The 18604-nt window shown below is 47.4% G+C and overlaps 2 protein-coding genes across 17 annotated transcripts in view, besides 4 other annotated features; both read right to left on the minus strand.

Annotated features, from left to right (window-relative positions):
* The window catches only part of CYFIP1 (cytoplasmic FMR1 interacting protein 1), a 113847-nt gene extending 105971 nt beyond the window's left edge, over positions 1 to 7876 (minus strand). For 7 of the 9 annotated variants that reach the window (NM_001324125.3, NM_001324124.3, NM_001324126.3 and 4 more), the window contains exon 1: positions 7265 to 7346. Coding sequence is in view for 1 of the 9 variants with exons in the window: in NM_001324119.2 (NP_001311048.1) it covers positions 7774 to 7869 (96 nt within the window). In the remaining 8 variants the exon portion in view is untranslated. Of the gene's footprint in view, positions 1 to 7264; positions 7347 to 7545 lie in introns of those variants that run through there. The other 2 variants (NM_001324119.2, NM_001324120.2) reach the window with 2 other exon arrangements.
* Positions 3544 to 4043: an enhancer, noted in NCBI's record as "H3K4me1 hESC enhancer chr15:22896003-22896502 (GRCh37/hg19 assembly coordinates)". NCBI's record gives its function as "activates a minimal SCP1, AML or CMV promoter by ChIP-STARR-seq in primed H9 embryonic stem cells {active_cell/tissue: H9 hESC(primed)}" and the evidence as "EXISTENCE:reporter gene assay evidence [ECO:0000049][PMID:30033119]".
* Positions 4044 to 4545: an enhancer, noted in NCBI's record as "H3K4me1 hESC enhancer chr15:22895501-22896002 (GRCh37/hg19 assembly coordinates)". NCBI's record gives its function as "activates a minimal SCP1, AML or CMV promoter by ChIP-STARR-seq in primed H9 embryonic stem cells {active_cell/tissue: H9 hESC(primed)}" and the evidence as "EXISTENCE:reporter gene assay evidence [ECO:0000049][PMID:30033119]".
* Positions 5675 to 6642: an enhancer, noted in NCBI's record as "H3K27ac-H3K4me1 hESC enhancer chr15:22893404-22894371 (GRCh37/hg19 assembly coordinates)". NCBI's record gives its function as "activates a minimal SCP1, AML or CMV promoter by ChIP-STARR-seq in primed H9 embryonic stem cells {active_cell/tissue: H9 hESC(primed)}" and the evidence as "EXISTENCE:reporter gene assay evidence [ECO:0000049][PMID:30033119]".
* Positions 6643 to 7611: an enhancer, noted in NCBI's record as "H3K27ac-H3K4me1 hESC enhancer chr15:22892435-22893403 (GRCh37/hg19 assembly coordinates)". NCBI's record gives its function as "activates a minimal SCP1, AML or CMV promoter by ChIP-STARR-seq in primed H9 embryonic stem cells {active_cell/tissue: H9 hESC(primed)}" and the evidence as "EXISTENCE:reporter gene assay evidence [ECO:0000049][PMID:30033119]".
* The window catches only part of TUBGCP5 (tubulin gamma complex component 5), a 56545-nt gene continuing 47943 nt past the window's right edge, over positions 10003 to 18604 (minus strand). For all 8 annotated transcript variants that reach the window (NM_001354374.2, NM_001354373.2, NM_001354372.2 and 5 more), the window contains one exon: positions 10003 to 10589. In NM_001354374.2, the coding sequence (NP_001341303.1) occupies positions 10435 to 10589 (155 nt within the window). In that variant the 3' untranslated portion in view covers positions 10003 to 10434. The remainder of the gene's footprint in view (positions 10590 to 18604) is intronic.

The following is an 18604-nucleotide window of genomic DNA, read 5'->3' on the forward strand; positions in this document are numbered from 1 at the left end:
CTACTCAGGAGGCTGAGACAGGAGAATCGTTTGAACCTGGGAGACAGAGGTTGCAGTGAGCCAAGATCGCGCCACTGCTCTCCAACCTGGGCGACAGAGTGAGACTCCGTCTCAAAAAAACAAAACAACAACCAACCAAAATTTAGCCAGGCATGATGGTGCACACCTGTAGTGCCAGGTACTGGAGAGGCTGAGGTGGGAGAATTGCTTAAGCCCAAAAGGGCAAGGCTGCAGTAAGCCATGATTGCCCCACTGCATTCCAGCCTGGGTGACAGAACGAGACCTTGTCAAAAAAAAAAAAAAAAAAAAAAAAGGGAGAAGAAACTCCCTAACCATTAGCAGTTATTCTCACTTTTTCTACCCGTTCTTCACTGATCCTCTCTCCCCTGCTTTCTGGCCCCAGGCAATCACCTGTCTACTCTCTGTCTCTGTATATTTGCCTATTCTGGACTTTCCCCCTTGTATCTAACTGTAAATGTGTATCCTTTGACCAACATCTTCCTCTCTCCCCTTCCGCCAGCCACCCCAGCCTCTGGTAACCACCATTCTGCTCTGTTCTTCTGTGGCATCAGCGTTTTCAGATTCCACATGTGAGTGAGATCGTGCAGTACTTGTCTTTCTGTGCCTGGCTTATTTTGAGGAAATAAAGCCTCAAAAGCAAAGGCCACAAAAGAAAAAATAGACAAATGGGATTACATCAAACTAAAAATGTTCTGCACAGCAAAGGAATCAATCAACAAAGTGACAATCTACAGAATGCAGGAAAATATCTGCAAACCATATAACTAATAAGGGATTAATAATGAAAATATACAAAGAATTCAAACAACTCAATTGTAAAAGATCTGAATGGATATTTCTCAAAAGAAGGTGTACAAGTGGCCAACAGGTGTATGAAAAAATGCTCAACATCGCTAATCATCAGGGAATCCAAATCAAAACCACAATGAGCTATCACCTCACACCTGTCAGACTGGCTCTTGTCAAAAAGGCAAAAGATAACAAGTGTTGTCCAGGGTGTGGAGAAAGGGAAACCCTTGTACACTGTTGGTGGAGATGTAAATCAGTATAGCCATTGTAGAAAACAGTGCCGGGGGTTCCTCAAAATATTAAAAATAGAACTACCATATGACCCAGCAACACCACTGTTGGGTATATATCTAAAAGAAATGAAATCCGTATGTCCAAGAGATCGCTGTACCCCATGTTTATTGCAGCACCTTTCACAACAGCCAAGACATGGAATCAACCTAACTGTCCATCAACAGATGAGCAAGGCCGGGCCTGGTGGCTCACATCTGTAATCCTAGCACTTTCAGGAGGAAAGGAGGATTGCTCCAGCCCAGAAGTTCAAGACCAGCCTGGGCAACATAGTGATACCCCATCTCCATTTAAAAAATAATTAAAATTAAAAAAACAAAAACAGGCCGGACACGATGGCTCATGCCTATAATCCCAGTACTGGGAGGCCGAGGCAGATGAATCACTTGAGGCCAGGAGTTCGAGACCAGCCTGGCCAACACGGTGAAACCCCTTCCTCTACTAAAAATGCAAAAAAATTAGTCAGGCTTGGTGGCACCTCCTGTAATCCCAGGTACTTGGGAAGCTGAGGCATGAGAATCACTGGAACCCAGGAGGCGGAGGTTGCAGTAAGCTGAGATCACACCACTGCACTCCAGCCTGGGTGACAGAGTGAGACCCTGTCTCAAAACAAACAAACAAAAACTGGATTATGGTGATGGTTGTTGCACAGCTCCAGAAATCTTCTAAAAATTATTGTATAGTTGTCCCTGAAACAACACGTGTTTGAACCATGCGGGTCCACTTATTTGCAGACTTTTTCCAGTAAAAGTTACACGGTGTATGCCTGCCTCTCTAGCCCCTCCTTCCACCTCCCTCCACTTCTGCCTTTGCCACCCCCAAGACAGCAAAACCAACCCATCCACTTCCTCCTCCTTGGCCTGCTCACTGTGAGCTTTTTGAGGATGGAGACCTTTCTGATGATCCACTTCCACGTGATGAGTAGTCAGTTTATTTCCTCTTCCTCATGATTTTCTTAACAACATTTTCTTTTCTCTAGCTTACTTTATTATGAGAACACAGTATGTAATACATATAACTTACAAAATCTCTGTTAATCAACTGTTTATGTTATCAGTAAGGTTTCTGGTCAATAGCAGGCTATTCGTAGTTTTAACTTTTGGGAAGTCACGTAGTTTTAACTTTTGAGAAGTCAAAAGTTATACTTGTCCAGCCTGGCCAACATGGTGAAATCCCATCTCTACTAAAAATATAAAATTAGCCAGGCATGGTGGCGGGTGCCTGTAATCTCAGCTACTCAGGAGGCCGAGGCAGGAGAATCGCTTGAACCCGGGAGGCAGAGCTTGCAGTGAGCCGAGACAGAGCGAGACTCCGTCTCAAAAAAAAAAAAAAAAAAAAAAAAGGTTAAAGGCCAGGCTCGGTGGCTAACGCCTGTAATCCCAGCACTCTGGGAGGCAGAGGCAGAGGCGGGCAGATCACCTGAGGTCAGGAGGTCGAGATCAGCCTGACCAACACAGTGAAACCCCCTCTCTACTAAAAATACAAAATTAGTGGGAGTGGTGGCGCATGCCTGTAATCCAAGCTACTTGGGAGGCTGAGGCAGGAGAATGGCTTAAACCCAGGAGGCAGAGGTTGCAGTGTGCCAAGATCGTGCCATTGCACTCTATCCTGGGCAATAAGAGCGAAACTCCATCTCAAAAAAAGTTACACTCGGATTTTCAACTGCACAGGGGGTTGGAATCCCTAACCCCCTCGTTCACAGGCCAGCCAAACGTATACTTAAAAGTAGGTGAATTTTATAAAGTAGGTATATTATACCTCAATAAACAAAATTTTTGTTTAAAATTTTTGTTTTTAAAGCATGCTAATATTTTTAAATTGGAATTGGGTTAAATTTATAGATCAATATGAAGAGAACTGATGTCTTTACTATGTTGAGTGTTCCAACCACTGACCATGGTATGTTCCCCCATTTACTTAAATGATCTTTGATTTCTCTCATCTTCAGCATACAGATCCTGTAAGTCTTATTCAATGTATACCTAAGTATTTGATTCCTTTGAAGCAAACGAAATGTTGTGTTTTTAAATTTAATTTTCTTTTTTTTTTTTTGAGACGGAGTCTCGCTCTGTTGCCCAGGCTGGACTGCAGTGGCGCGATCTCGGCTCACCACAACCTCCGCCTCCCGGGTTCAGGCGATTCTCCTGCTTCAGCCTCCTGAGTAGCTGGGACTACAGGCGCACGCCACCATGCCCAACTAATTTTTGTATTTTTAGTAGAGACAGGGTTTCACTATGTTGGCCAGGCTGGTCTCGAACTCCTGCCCTTGTGATCCGCCCGCCTCGGCCTCCCAAAGTGCTGGGATTACAGGCGTGAGCAACCACGCCCAGCCAAATTTAACTTTCTAATTGTACATTGCTAGTACAGTAGTCCCCACTTACCTGTAGTTTCATTATCTGCAATTTCTGTTTCCCCAGTTATAGCTGCCTACAGTCAACTGCCCTCCAAAAATAGGTGAGTGCATACAAAAAGATATTTTGAAAGAGAGAACACATTTATATAACTTTTATTCAGTATATAATTATTCTATATTATGAACAGTTATTGTTGGTAATCTCTTACTGCGCCTAATTTGTAAATTAAGCTTTATCATAGGCATAGATGTATAGGGAAAAAAACCACAGTACACGGAGGGTTCTGTCTTATCTCAGGTTTCAGGCTTCCATTGGAACGTATCGTCCATGGATAACAAGGACTGTTGTAAACAGAAATAAGGTCAGCTTGTATAGTGTTGACTTTGCATGTATCTCCCCATGGATAAGGGGCACTGCTGTATGCAGAAATAAGGTCGCCAGGCCGGGCCCGGTGGCTCACGCCTATAATCCTAGCACTTTGGGAGGCCGAGGCAGGCGGATCACCTGAGGTTGGGAGTTCCAGACCAGCCTGACCAACACGGAGAAACCCCATCTCTACTAAAAACACAAAATTAGCCAGACATGGTGGCACATGCCTGTAATCCCAGCTACTCGGGAGGCTGAGGCAGGAGAATCGCTTGAACCCGGGAGGCAGAGGTTGCGGTGGGCCGAGATCGCACCATTGCACTCTAGCCTGGGCAACAAGAATGAAACTCTGTCTCAAAAAAAAAAAAGAAAAATAAGGTCGCCTTCTGTGTGTTGACTTTGTATCTTGTGACCTTGCTAACCTCATTAATTAGTTCTAGTAGCTTTTTCATAGATTCCCTGGATTTTCTATGTAGATAATCATGTTGTCAGCAAATAGGGACAATTTTCCCTTTCCAATTTGTATGCCTTTTCTTTCTTTGTCTGATACTATTGCACTGGCTAAAATAAGGTTTTTAAATTATGTCAGTGTAATTAATCCATGCTTTATCAATGGCCTCTAAGGGTTGGCTAAATTTTAATAGGAAAAACAATGAGAATAGCTTGGACATGTTAGTTAAAACTTCACACTATAAAATATGTTTTGGGTGGGCGCGGTGGTTCACGCCTGTAATCCCAGCACGTTGGGAGGCCGAGGTGGGTGGATCACCTGAGGTCAGGAGTTTGAGACCAGCCTGGCCAACATGGCAAAACCCTGTCTCTACTAAAAATACAAAAATTAGCTGGGTGTGGTGGCAGGCGCCTGTAATCCCAGCTACTCGGAAGGCTGGGGCAGGAGAATTGCTTGAACCCAGGAGGTGGAAGTTGCAGTGAGCCGAGATCACACCATTGCACTCCAGCCTGGGCAACAAGAGCAAAACCCTGTCTCACAAAAAATAAAATAAAATAACATAACATAAAAGAAAAGAAAACAAAGGAGGGAGGGAGATGTTAGCTATTATTTAAACCCAAAGTCACCTTTAGCATTATAAACTTGAGTATGTGCACAAAGATACAGACACAAGCATTGACTGTAGTGGTGAAAAACAGTAAATAACTATAATGTCAATCAACAGGAGGCTGATAAAATTATGAAACATCCACACTACAGAATACTATAGTGATTTGGCCGGGCACAGTGGCTCATGCCTGTAATACCAGCACTTTGGGAGGCTGAGGCGGGCAGATCACTTGAGGTCAGGAGTTCAAGACCAGCCTGGGCAACATGGCAAAACCCCGTCTCTACTAAAAAGACAAAAATTAGCCGGGTGTGGTGGTGCGTGCCTGTAATCCCAGCTACTCAGGGGGCTGAGGTGGGAGAACCACCTGAACCCAGGAGGCATAGGTTGTGGCGAGCCGAGTTTGCGTCACTGCACTCCAGTCTGGGCCACAGAGTTAAGACTCTGTCACAAAAAAAAAAAAAAAAAAAAAAAAAAAAAAGGAATACTATACGGTTATTTAAAAGATTGAGGGAAATCTGTGTGTACAGACTATATATATCAACATGTAAAGATTGCTAAGATCTTTAAGTAACCAAACATCATTAAGTGAAAAATGTATGACGATAATATATGCAATATGATCTCACTATGTTATTTAAAAAATTACTTATGCACAGAAAAGACTATTATACTACTTAGAAGTACCGAGGGAATTTCACTTTTAGTATACACGGTTCTATGCTGTTTAATGTTTTTAATGAACTATAGTTTTGTAATTTTTCTCATCACTTTATCATTTTAGTCTCTCTCTCAGGCTGTATCCGAGAGCCACACTTTTCAGACCCTTGTATCTTTACTCTTCAGGGACAAACCAGAGCATAGCTGAATCTCCAACGCCTTATGCTAAGCGAAACAAGCCAGACTCCAAGCCCACATGTGACATTCTGGAATGGGCAAAGCAGGAGGACTGAGGAACAGACAGGCGGCTGCAAGAGCGGGGAGGAGAGAGGCTGCCTTCCTGAGTATCCTGACTGCGGTGGAAGTCACTACAGTCCATGCACCTGCTACAGCTCACTGAACTGAACACCAAAAAGTGAATCTTACTAAAAGTTTAAAATAAATTTAAACACACACACAAACTTAGGGGGTACATTTTCTTTGAGCGCAGCACAGACACCTGTCTTAACGCAGGAAACGTCCTCCGCCACGACTCCAGGGCGCCTCGGTCGCAGTGAGGGCACCGGCACTATATCCCTACTGGCCCTACGAGTGCACACCTGCTACGGCCCGCGCCCACTCACAGCGTGACTCGTTCTTCCAGGCTCCGTGCCTGCAGATCTAGACATCACTTGGAAAACCGCTGGCCACCCGCAGGGAAAAGGCAGCATGCGTGGGGCCCCCGCGGGTCCCGGCCTGGCCGGGACTCTGCCGCCAAGCTGTCAAGCATAGCAATGTGCGCACTGCACCAGGCATCACCGCGGCTCCGACCACGCCTCATTCCGGAGTCCGACGGACGACTGCAAGAAACACCACCGCTCCCGGCGCAGCCACGGTGCCCTCCGCCGCCAGAAAACAAACGCTCCCGAGCCTCAGTCCCCAGCGGCGACCACGCGGCGCTGGGCTCAATCAGCAGCCGCTCCCTGACTGGACTTAATAGCGGAGCTGACACCGTCCAGACGCCCCTCTCAGCTTAAAACACGTTCCATCAACCCCGTTTCCCGATTATTCTTGCACCCTTCTTGTCACACCCACAATGTGCTGCAAATTAAGCTCACGCATTTCAGCCTTAAAATACACAATTCAGATGCTTGTGCGAAACAGTGCTGCCTCCGTAACGATCGCGCCTCCTTAACAAAGCCCAAAACTCCTCTCTCCAAGAATGCCCGGAATGGCTCCGCGGACCAGGCTCCCTCCGCTCCTCACAGGGGCACGAAACAAAAACGGGTTCAGATCTTGCTGCGCGACCTTAGTGCAACATTAACAATCTGCCTGCTCCTTACTTTCCAACAAAAACGTCAAACACTAAGGTATTCCTTCGCCACTGGAGCTGTGCCATGTGCCGGGGCGCGGAATCCGGGATCCGGGGGCGCGAGGCGGTGAACGCGGGGGCGGGGAGCTCGGGGCCGAGGCCGAAAGGCCGGGGGCGCAGGGACCGGGAAGCCAGTGCAGGGAGTGCGGGGACCTGGAGCCCGGGAGGCGCGGGAGCCCGGGGCCGGGACCTGGGGGACGCGGGGACCAGGACGATCCCGGAGGCCGCGCCGCCGGGGAGGCCGCGCCGCCGGGGTTGGGGGGGAGGGGGGGGTCCGTCCCGGCCCCGCCGCCGCCCTGGCCGGCCCAGGTTCCGAGGGGGACCCGGACCCCGCGGAGGCCGCAGGGCAGGCGCGGGCGAGCGGGGTTCCTCACCTGCGTCCGCGGCGGCTTGGGGGTCCTGGGCGGGCCCTGGGAGTTTCCTTGGCCGAGTGAGTCACTCGGGCTGGCCGGGAATGCGCCAGGAAACACTCGGCCTCCTCCCCTTCCTCCCGGGGCGGGGGCTCTCCCGGCTCGGCCTCTTCCTCCCGGCGCTCCTCCCTCCCGGCCGCGGCCCCGGCCGCTCCCTCCTCCTGGCGGGGCATCCCCGGCCGGGCGGCCCCTTTCCCCACGCCAGCCGCCGAAGGTGTCCTCCCAGGCAGAGAGCCCCTGGCTACCTGCCGGCCTGGGTCACCGCAGCCTGCGCGGGACGGCGGGGTCGGAGCGGAGCGGGCGTGGGGTCCTCCTGCGGGTCCGTCCGGTTCGGAGCGCGAAGGAACGGGGTCCGCACCCTGTCCCGGGGCTCCACCGGGTCAGGGCGGGGGTTGGCCTGAGCTGCGGAAGGAGCTCAGGGGGACACCCAGGACGCCCGTGTGGCGCCGCCCCACTTGGCAGGAGGCGCTCACCTGCGCTCGTCGGGAGGGTTCCAGGCGCGGGTCCCAGCTGCAGGTCGGCGCGCAGAGCCCGCTGGGGACCCCCCCGGCCGGCCCCTGCGGCCCCATTGCCTGCGGGAACCAGGGACAAATCCGTGCGCAGACCTGCGGGAACGGCGGACGGAAGAAAACCTGATTTGAGCTCGTGCCAAAAAACAATCTTGAAAGGCCGGTGAAGAAACATACCTCACACGGAAACGCTGAGTGGAGTCAGCTGGTCACAGGCGTGTTTAGGAAAACTGCCCTAAACGCCCCGCTCAGCCGCAGCAACCTCACTCCCCATTCATCCGCGACCCCTGGTTCTTACGGAGAACAGTAAGGATGGGCATCAGATATTCTAGTCTGGTCTCTAGATTATGAAGGTTTGGTTACCCCCGCTTGTGCTCTGCGGTAAGGCAAAAAGCAGCAAATGAATCCTGACCAGCGGATTGAGACAATCTACCAGTTGACTCAATATTCGGATATCACTTTCTCACATTCCTGCAAAACAGGGGCTTTGGATAACATTCTGGTTCCCAGTCCACACATTTTCAAATCAGCAGATTACTCCTTTTCTGTGCCTAGGGTGGAGTCTCAAAATTAGATTCCAAAGGTTTTTACATTGTAGATGACATGATAGAACCCAAATTCAAGTTATACTGTGATAATTTAAAATATTGTAATCCCGGCCGAGCGCAGTGGCTCACGCCTGTAATCGCAGCATTTTGGGAGTCCGAGGCGGGCGGATCACCTGAGGTCAGGCGTTCGAGACCACACTGGCCAACATGGTGAAGACCCCGTCTCTACTAAAAATACAAAAATTAGTCGGGCATGGTGGTGTGGGCTTGTAATCCCAGCTACTCGGGAGGCCGAGGCAGGAGAATCGCTTGAACCCAGGAAGTGGAGGTTGCAGTGAGCCAAGATCGTGTCGCTGCACTCCGGCCTGGGCGACAGAGCAAGACTCCGTCTTAAAATAATAAAATATTGTAATCCCTAGAGCAATTAATAAAAAATAATACAGCTAAAAATCCAAGAAAAGAGATAAAATAGAATACAAAAATATGCTTGATCCAAAAGAAAGCAGGAAGGAAGGAGCAAAAAGCACATAAGGCAAAGACAAAGAGCAAGCAGTTAGACTTCAACCACATTAGTAATCACATTGAATGTAAATGGACTAAACATGTAATCCGTTTACTAACTGTAAATGGATTAAAACACAGAAATTGTCACATTGGATTAAAAACGAGACCCAAATATATTCTGTTTTAAGAAGACATAATTTTGGCCGGGCACAGTGACTCATGCCTGTTAATCCCAGCACTTTCGGAGGCCAACGCGGGTGGATCAACTGAGGTCAGGAGTTCAAGACGAGCCTGACCCACATGGCAAAACCCCGTCTTTACTAAAAATACAAAATTAGCTGGGTGTGGTGGCACATGCCTATAATCCCAGCTACTCAGGAGACTGAGGCAGGAGAATCGCTTGAACCCGGGAGGCAGAGGTTGCAGTTAGCTGAGATTGCGCCATTGAACTCCAGCCTAAGCAACAAGAGTGAAACCTGGTCTCAAAAAAAAAAAAAAAAAAAGACATAATTTAAATATAAGGACACAAAGAGGCTGAAATTAAAAAGATGCAAAAGGACATGCTAATCAGAAAGGTGGAGTGATTATATTAATATCAAAGTAGAATTCAACTCAAGGGGCACTATCAGTGATAAAAAGGACATTTGATAAAAATAAATGGGTCAATTAAGTATGAAAAAATAGGCCGGGCATGGTGGCTCACGCCTGTAATTCCAACACTTTGGGAGGCTGAGGCGGGCAGGTCATCTGAGGTCAGGAGTTCGAGACCAGCCTGGCTAACATACCCTGTTTCTACCAAAAATACAAAAAATTAGCCAGGTCTGGTGGCACATGCCTGTAATCCCAGCTACTCGGGAGGTTGAGGCAGGAGAATCGCTTCAACCTGGGAGGCGAAGGTTGCAGTAATCCCAGCTACTTGGGAGGTTGAGGCAGGAGAATCACTTGAACCCGGGAGGCGGAGGTTACAGTGAGCCAAGGTCGTGCCATTGCACTCTAGCTTGGGCAACAAGAGTGAAACTCCGTCTCAAAAGAAAAGGAAGAAAAAATAACTTTTAGTGCATATATACATCAAATAAGTTTTGAAATATTTAGACAAAGATGGATAGAATCAAAAGAAGAAATAGGCGAATACACACTCATAGAGATTTGAACTTCTCTCTATTAGTAATTGATAGGACAGGCAGACACAAAAAGAAGTAAAGATACAAAATTTTTTTTAAGTAATTAACGTATTATACCTAAATGGCACCTCCACAAAACAGAATACAGAATGCATTGTACGGAATGAAAGATGTTCAGACGCTTTGTACTGAAGACTTCAAGCTGTTACTGACAGGAATTAAAGTTTTCAAATAAACACGTAACATTCACAAAATATACCATATGTTAGGAAGTAAAACAAGTCTCATCAGATTTCAAAGGGTCAAAATTATTTACAGTAGTTCCCACCTCATCTTCTGGGGGATAAGCTTCAAGACCCCTGGTGGATGTCTGAAAGGACAGATAGTAGCACACTCTACACTGTATAGACTATATATTTTTCTATATATGCAGGCCTATGATAAAGTTTAATTTATAAAGTACACACAGGTCGGTAATCCCAGCATTTTGGGAGGTCAAGGTGGGCGGATTGCTTGAGCTCTGGAGGCAGAGGTTGCAGTGAGCTGAGATTGTGCCACTGCACTCCAGCCTGGGCGATAGAGTGAGACTCACAGAGTGAGATTCCATCTAAAAATAAATAAATAAATAAATTAGACACAGTAAGACATTAACAATAATAAAAATAGAACAATTGTAGTGGTATACTATAATAAAAGTGATGTAGTTCGTCTCTCTCTCAAAATATCTCATTATACTGTACTAGTAGTCCCCCTCCTCTGAGTTCCAGTTACTCATGGTCAACCATAGTCTGAAAATAGGTGAGTATAGTACAGTGCTTATTTAAAAACAACCATTAGGCCAGGTGCGGTGGCTCATGCCTGTAATCCCAGCACTTTGGGAGGCCGAGGCAGTGGATTGCTTGAGCTCAGGGGTTCGAGACCAGCCTGGCCAACAGGACAAAACCCCCTCTCTACAAAATACAAAAATTAGCTGGGCATAGTAGGCGGTGCCTGTGGTCCCAGCTACCACTGAGGCTGAGGCAGGAGAATCACTTGAACCCGAGAGTTGGAGGTTGTAGTGAGCTGACATCGTGCCACTGCACTCCAGGCTGGGCGACAGAGCATGACCCTGTCTCAAAAAAATAGAACGAAATAAAATAAAATAAAATAAATAACCATTTAAAGCCTCTGGAAATGGGCCTAAGGGCAAACAGCCAATGAAGAATTATCTATAGAAATGAGACTACTATACAGCAATGGAACAGAATAGTGAAAATTAAGTACACATTATTTGGTCAATTGGTTTTCAATTAAGATGCTAAAGGACTTCCATGGAGAAAGAAAACTCTTTTTTGGCTGGGCACAGTGGCTCACACCTGTAATCCCAGCACTTTGGGAGGCCAAGACGTGCAGATCATCTGAGGTCAGGAGTTCGAGACCAGCCTGGCCAACGTGGCGAAACCCTGTCTCTACTGAAAATACCAAAATTAGCTGGGTGTGGTGGCGAGTGCCTGTAATCCCAGCTACCCCGGGGGCTGAGGCAGGAGAATCACTTGAATCCAGGAGACAGAGGTTGCAGTGAGCTGAGATCATGCCACTGCACTCCAACCTGGCAACAGAGAGAGACTCCGTGTTAAAAAAAAAATAAAAGAAACTTTTTTTAAAAATGGTGCTAGAATAACTGCATAACGATGTACAAAAACTGAAACTCAACTTCCTCCCCAACACCATGTACAAAAAGTAACTGGCTGTGTATGGATCATAGACCTAAATTTGAAAGCTAAAGATACAAAGCTTCTAGAAGAAAACATAAGAGAATAATTTTATAACGGTAGAGTAGAGGAAGGCAAGATTTCTCAAAAATGTAGGGTTAGTACCTTTAGGAAAAAAATGATAAATTGATTTGATCGAAATTTAAAACTTCTCATCAAAAGAATGTTAAAAGAGTGAAAAGACATAGACAATATTGCAAGACAATACTGCAATACATATAACAGACAGAGAGTTTGTGTCCAGAATATGTAAAGAACCCAAACAACAATAAAATGACAATGCAGGAAAAATAGGGCAAAAGACTTTAACTCACACTTCAGAAAGAAACCACATTGGAAGTCTTTTATAAAATTCAACATATATATCTCCTATGATGGTAATTCTACTTCTAAGTATTTACCTAATAGAAATACAAATTAATCTCTGCACAAAAACTTGTATAATTAATAGTCTTTTGTTTTTTCTTTTTTGTTTTTTTTGAGATGGAGTTTCACTCTTGTTGCCCAGGCTGGAGTACAATGGCGTGATCTCTGCTCACCACAACCTCCACCTCCCGAGTTAAAGCGATTGTCCTGCCTCAGCCTTCCGAGTAGCTGGGATTACAGGCATGCGCCACCACTCCTGGCTAATTTTGTATTTTTAGTAGAGATGGGGTTTCTCCATGTTGATCAGGCTGGTCTCAAACTCCCGACCTCAGGTGATCCGCCTGCCTCGGCCTCCCAAAGTGCTAGGATTACAGGCATGAGCCACCACACCTGGCTGTATAATGAATATTCTTACCAGCTTATTTATAATCGCAAAAAACTAGAAACAACCCAAAGTGCACAAATAGGAGAATGGATAAACAAATACTGTTCATATAATGGAATATTACTCAGCAATAAAAAGGAAAGAACAAATCAAAAGGATTTGTTCTTGTGTTTTTCTATTTCACACTCATTAGGATGCCTACTATCAACAAACAGCTACTTGGGAGGCTGAGGCAGGAGAATCGCTTGAACCCAGGAGGCGGAGGTTGCAGTGAGCCAAGATCCTGCCACTGCACTCCAGCCTGGGCGACAGAGTGAGACTCCATCTCAAAAAAAAGAAATAATAGGCCGGGCACGGTGGCTCATGCCTGTAATTCCAGCACTTTGGAAGGCCGAGATGGGCGGATCACAAGGTCAGGAGATCGAGACCATCCTGGCTAACACGGTGAAACCTTGTCTCTATCAAAAATACAAAAAAATTAGCTGGGTGTGGTGGCGAGTGCCTGTAGTCCCAGCTACTCAGGAGGCTGAGACAGGAGAATGGTGTGAACCCGGGAGGCAGAGCTTGCAGTGAGCCGAGGTCACGCCACTGCACTCCAGCCTGGGCGACAGAGCAAGACTCTGTCTCAAAAAAAAAAAAAAAATAATAATAATAATAAAATAAAAATAAACAAAATAACAAGTATTGGCAAGGATATGATGAAATTGGAACTCTGTGTACTCTTAGTGGGCATGTAAAATGGTGCCACTATGGAAAACAATATGATGAAAAAAGTTTTTAAAAGGGGAAGAAAATGGATATACAAGTAGTATTATAAAATAGATGAACCTCAAAACTATTCTGTAATTTTCCACACACAAAAGACCATGTACATATTGTGGGATTTCATCTATATGAACTTCCATGACAGATAGCACCACTACTCACTGGTGACAGAAGTCAGAAATTGGCCGGGCGTGGTGGTTCACCCCTGTAATCCCAGCACTTTGGGAGGCCAAGGCGGGTGGATCACTCGAGGTCAGGAGTTCGAGACCAGCCTGACCAACATGGCGAAACCCCATCTCTACTAAAAATACAAAAAATTAGCCGGGTGTGGTGGTGGGTGCCTGTAATCCTAGCTACTCAGGGGGCTGAGGCAGAAGAATCACTTGAACCCAGGAGGTGGAGGCTGCAGTGAGCTGAGATTGCGCCACCGCACTCCAACCTGGGCAACAGAATGAGACTCTGTCTCAAAAAAAAAAAAAGAAAGAAAAGGAAGTCAGAAATCGTTAAATCGTTTGCTTGGGTGAGGTGGTCTGCAGGGAATAGGATGGACTGAAAAGAGGCGTGTAGGAAACTTCTGGGGACTTGGAAATATTCTGCATCTTTGTCAGGCTGATATTGACACAAGCATATTATGTCAGTCAGGGTTCAACCAGAAAAGCAGAATCAGTAGGAGATACATATTAGGAGATTTACTGCAAGGAATTGGCTTATGCACTATGGGGGCTGGCTCAGCTAGGATGAAATCTGGAGGGCAGGCCATCAGAAAGTTACTGTCCTGTGGCTGGGGGCGGTGGCTCACGCCTGTAATCCCAGCACTTTGGGAGGCTGAGGCAGGCGGACCACCTGAGGTCAGGAGTTCAAGACCAGCCTGACCAACATGGAGAAACCCCATCTCTACTAAAAATACAAGAAATTAACCGGGCGTGGTGGAACATGCCTGCAATTCCAGCTACTTGGGAGGCTGAGGCAGGAGAATCACTTGAATGGGGGAGGCGGAGGTTGTGGTGAGCCAAGATCACTCCATTGTGCACTCCAGCCTGGGCAACAAGAGCAAAACTCCATCTCAAAAAAAAAAAAAAAGAAAAGAAAGTTACTGTCCTGTTTTTAGGTTTCTGTCACGGTCACAACAAATTACTACAAATTTTTGGCTCTGGTAAACTGAAAAAGCATCCCCCAGCAAATACCTGTGTCAAATCCCTGGAACCTGTGGCTGTTACTACTATGTTGAAACCCCATCACCAAGATGATGGCATTAGGAGGTGGGGCCTTTGGGAGCTGACAGGTCACAAAAGTAGAGTCCTCATGAGTGGGATTTGTGCCCTTATAAAAGACACCCCAGAGGGGGCCAGGCGCGGTGGCTCACGCCTGTAATCCCAGCACTTTGGGAGGCTGAGGTGGGTGGATCATGAGGTCAGGAGATGGAGACCATCCTGGCTAACACGGTGAAACCCCGTCTCTACTAAAAATACAAAAAATTAGCCGGGCGTGGTGGCGGGTGCCTGTAGTCCCAGCTACTCGGGAAGCTGAGGTGGGAGAATGGCATGAACCCGGGAGGCAGAGTTTGCAGTGAGCCGAGATTGCGCCACCACACTCCAGCCTGGGTGACAGAGCGAGACTCCATCTCAAAAAAAAAAAAAAAAAAAAAAAAAAAAGACACCCCAGAGAACAGCCTTGTCCTTTCTGCCATGTGAAGACACAGCCAGACAACAGCCACTGAGAACCAGACAGTGGGACCTCACCAGACACCCACTCTGTGGTGCCTTGATGTTGGGCACTCAGCTTCCAGAACTATGAGTAATACATTTCTCCTGTTTATAGCCACCCAGTCTATGGTGCTTTGTTATAGGAGTCCTGACGGACTAAGACAGTACCTTATATGAAGAAAGAGTCTTAGCGGATCTAAGTTCTTGAGATGGGATCATCTTAGATTATCTGAAGGGGCCCTAAATCCAATAAGCAGTGTGCTTACATGAGACACTGAGAGCAGACCCAGAAAAAGAGGCAGTGTGAACACAGAGGCAGAGATGGGAGTGAAGCAGCCACACAGCCACAAGTCATAGAATGCTGGCAGCCCCCGAAACTGAGCAGGTAAAGAATGGTGGAGGCAAGGCCCTATTGCTGCCTTGAATTTTGGCCTTCCAGCCCCCAGAACTTGAAGATAATTAATATCTGGTTTTTTTGGCCGGTTGCGGTGGCTGAAGCCTGTAATCCCAGCACTTTGGGAGGCCAAGGCGGGCGTATCACGAGGTCAGGAGATCGAGACCATCCTGGCTAACACAGTGAAACCCCGTCTCTACTAGAAAATACAAAAAAAATTAGCCGGGCGTGGTGGTGGGTGCCTGTAGTCCCAGCTACTCGGGAGGCTGAGGCAGGAGAATGGCGTGAACCTAGGAGGCAGAGCTTGCAGTGAGCCGAGATCGCGTGACTGCACTCCAGCCTGGACGACAGAGCGAGACTCCGTCTCAAAAAAAAAAAAAATCTGTTTTTTTGTTGTTTGTTGTTTGTTTGTTTTTTGAGACGGAGTCTTGTTCTGTTGCCAGGCTGGAGTGCAGTGGCGTGATCTCAGCTCACTGCAACCTCCGATTCCCTGGTTCAAGCGATTCAGGCATGCACCACCAGGCCCAGCTAGTTTTTGTGTTTTTAGTACAGACAGGATTTCTCCATATTGGTGTAGAGGCCACTCACATTCCCGGATCCTGCTCCTTCCCTTGACTTTTTCTGTCCTCAAAGCCCTCAGCTGGCTCTGCCCTCAGGCTGCCCTGGCCTCACACCTTTCTCTGACACTGTGCTTCTGTCCCCTCTTCCACCTTTAGGAGCCGTGTGACGACATCCCCAGATAATGCAGGGTAACGTCTCTATCTCAAGTCAGTGGACTAGCAACCCTAATTCCATCTGCAATTTTAATTCTCCTCTTGCCATGTAAACTAACATAGTCACACGGCCCAGGGATTAGGAAGCAGACAGCTTTGGGGCTACCATTCCGCCTTGTCTCAGGAAGCTGGAGCTCTGCCTCAGTGTCCTCTAACCCATTGAATCCGGCCCAGCTGGACTGCCTGGGATCATCTCCTTTACTTAAAGTCAACTGATATGAAATTTAATCACATCCAGTAAATACCTTCTAGCAACACGAGGTGTGTGTTTGATAGAACAGCTGGGACAGCCTCACTAGGTTGACACAATAAAAAGACCACCACAACCCACCCCCTGTTAACTTGGCACCCATACATATCCCCTTAAATCATACTTGTCTTGGTCTGTCTTTTTAAATTTATGATTTATTTATTTATCTAGAGACAGGGTCTCACTTTGTTGTCCAGGTTGGCCTTGAACTCCTGGCCTCCAGGGATCCTCCCACCTGGCCTCCCAAAGTGCTGGGATTACAGGTGCAAGTCATGTGCCTGGCCAACCAGGAGGAACTTTAATTCCTTCTTAACTGATCCCTCCATTCCACAATAGCATGATCTCAGCTGCTATATTTGTACAACCTGATCTCTTATTTCTTGCCACACCTTGTTCAAGCTGGAGTGGGCACCTGACCCAAGTTGACTCGCTGTGGGAACCTTGGTTGGGAGCTTAGAGTTGGAACTTTCTCACTCACATCACAGCCTCCTAACTTCAGGACTTTTATTTCTTCTGCAGTGAAAACATGTGGACTCCAACCAAGAACCCAACCACACGTCTCCCTGGTGCCCGCCTGGATCTCTCACCTCCTGCCCTGGGGCTTCCCTGTCACCAGGAGGCATCAGAGTCCTCTGAGATCACACATGAACCATGCAGCTGTGCACAGAGTTAACATTCCCTGCACCTTTGACTAATGAGAGGCACTCACAGGCAGATTCCTCTCTTTCCTTCCTGATGCAGTCCACATGGCTTCTAGGGACATCCCGAGAGGTGGGGCAGGCACACTTAGCAATGCCATCTTACTGAGATGGCCCCATATCCATCAGCACTCCCCCTCCTTCTCCCACTCCTCCCCCTCCTCTTCCCCTCCTCTTCCATCTCTCTCCTCCTCCTGCTAGGGCACTCTCTGACTCCCACTACGGGCACTGCACCCCATCTCAGAGTAGAGGCACCTACGGCTTTGTCTCAGGTTGTATTTCTGGGGAACCCAGGCCAAGGCTGGAGCCAAGAACTGGTCACGTGCATTTGGGATCTGTGAGCATCCACCTTCCAACCACTACAGGAAAAGCACAGCAAGGAAAGGTGAGAAAGCAGAAGTAACAGGTAGAAAAACAAATACCAGCAGAACAGGGAGACAGCTCTCCCCGAGCAGGAAACACAGCATGCATTTTTGGATTAAAATTCCTCCATTCCCTCACCAGACACCAACTCTGTGGTGCCATGATCTTGGGCGCTCAGCTTCCAGAACTGTAATAAATTTCTCCTGTTTAGAGCCACCCAGTCTATGCTGCTTTGTTATAGCAGCCTTAACAGACTAAGACAGTTACCTTATGTGAAGAAAAAGAGTCTTAGCAGATCTAAGTTCTTGAGATGGGATCATCTTAGATTATCTGAAGGGGCCCTAAATCCAATAAGCAGTGTGCTTACAAGAGACACGCAGAGAACAGACCCAGAAAGAGGCAGTGTGAACACAGAGGCAGGGATGGGAGTGAAGCAGCCACACAGCCACAGTCATAGAATGCTGGCAGCCCCCAGAAACTGGGGAGGCAAAGAATGGCGCGGCCATGGCCCTATTGCTCCCTTGAATTTTGGCCTTCTGTCCTCCAGAACTTCAAGAGAATGAATATCTGTTGTTTTAAGCCACCAGGTTTATGGTAATGTGTTACAGCAGCCACAGGCAACAGTATAAGGACTTCCTTATAATAAATTACTTTTTTTTTTTTTGAGACGGAGTCTCGCGCGCTCACCAGGCTGGAGTGCAGTGGCGCGATGTCAGCTCACTGCAACCTCTGCCTCCCAGGCTCAAGTGATTCTACTGCCTCAGCCTCTTGAGTAGCTGGGATTACAGGCGCACACCACCACACCCGGCTAATTTTCTATATTAGTAGAGACGGGGTTTCACCATGTTGGCCAGGCTGGTCTCGAACTCATGACCTCAGGTGATCCGCCTGCCTCGGCCTCCCAAAGTGCTGGGATTACAGGTGTGAGCCACCATGCCCAGCCAAATTACTCTTTCTTAACTTAATGATGCCATGAATTGATGTGGTGGCTTTGCAGCATGTGGAGCTGGCTAAGCTGACCCAGGTTTACTAGAGTTCTTCCTGTGTTTCTGCAAGACCATGAGGGAGGCGCTGGCGGAGGCTTGGGGAGAGGCAGGGAGCTGCCACTGTGTTGTGGCTCACACGTGTTGTGGGTCTGACAGCTTACACTGTTAACACCACCATGGCCAGGACT

Source organism: Homo sapiens, chromosome 15 (genome assembly GCF_000001405.40).
Source record: "Homo sapiens chromosome 15, GRCh38.p14 Primary Assembly".
Lineage (NCBI taxonomy): Eukaryota > Metazoa > Chordata > Mammalia > Primates > Hominidae > Homo > Homo sapiens.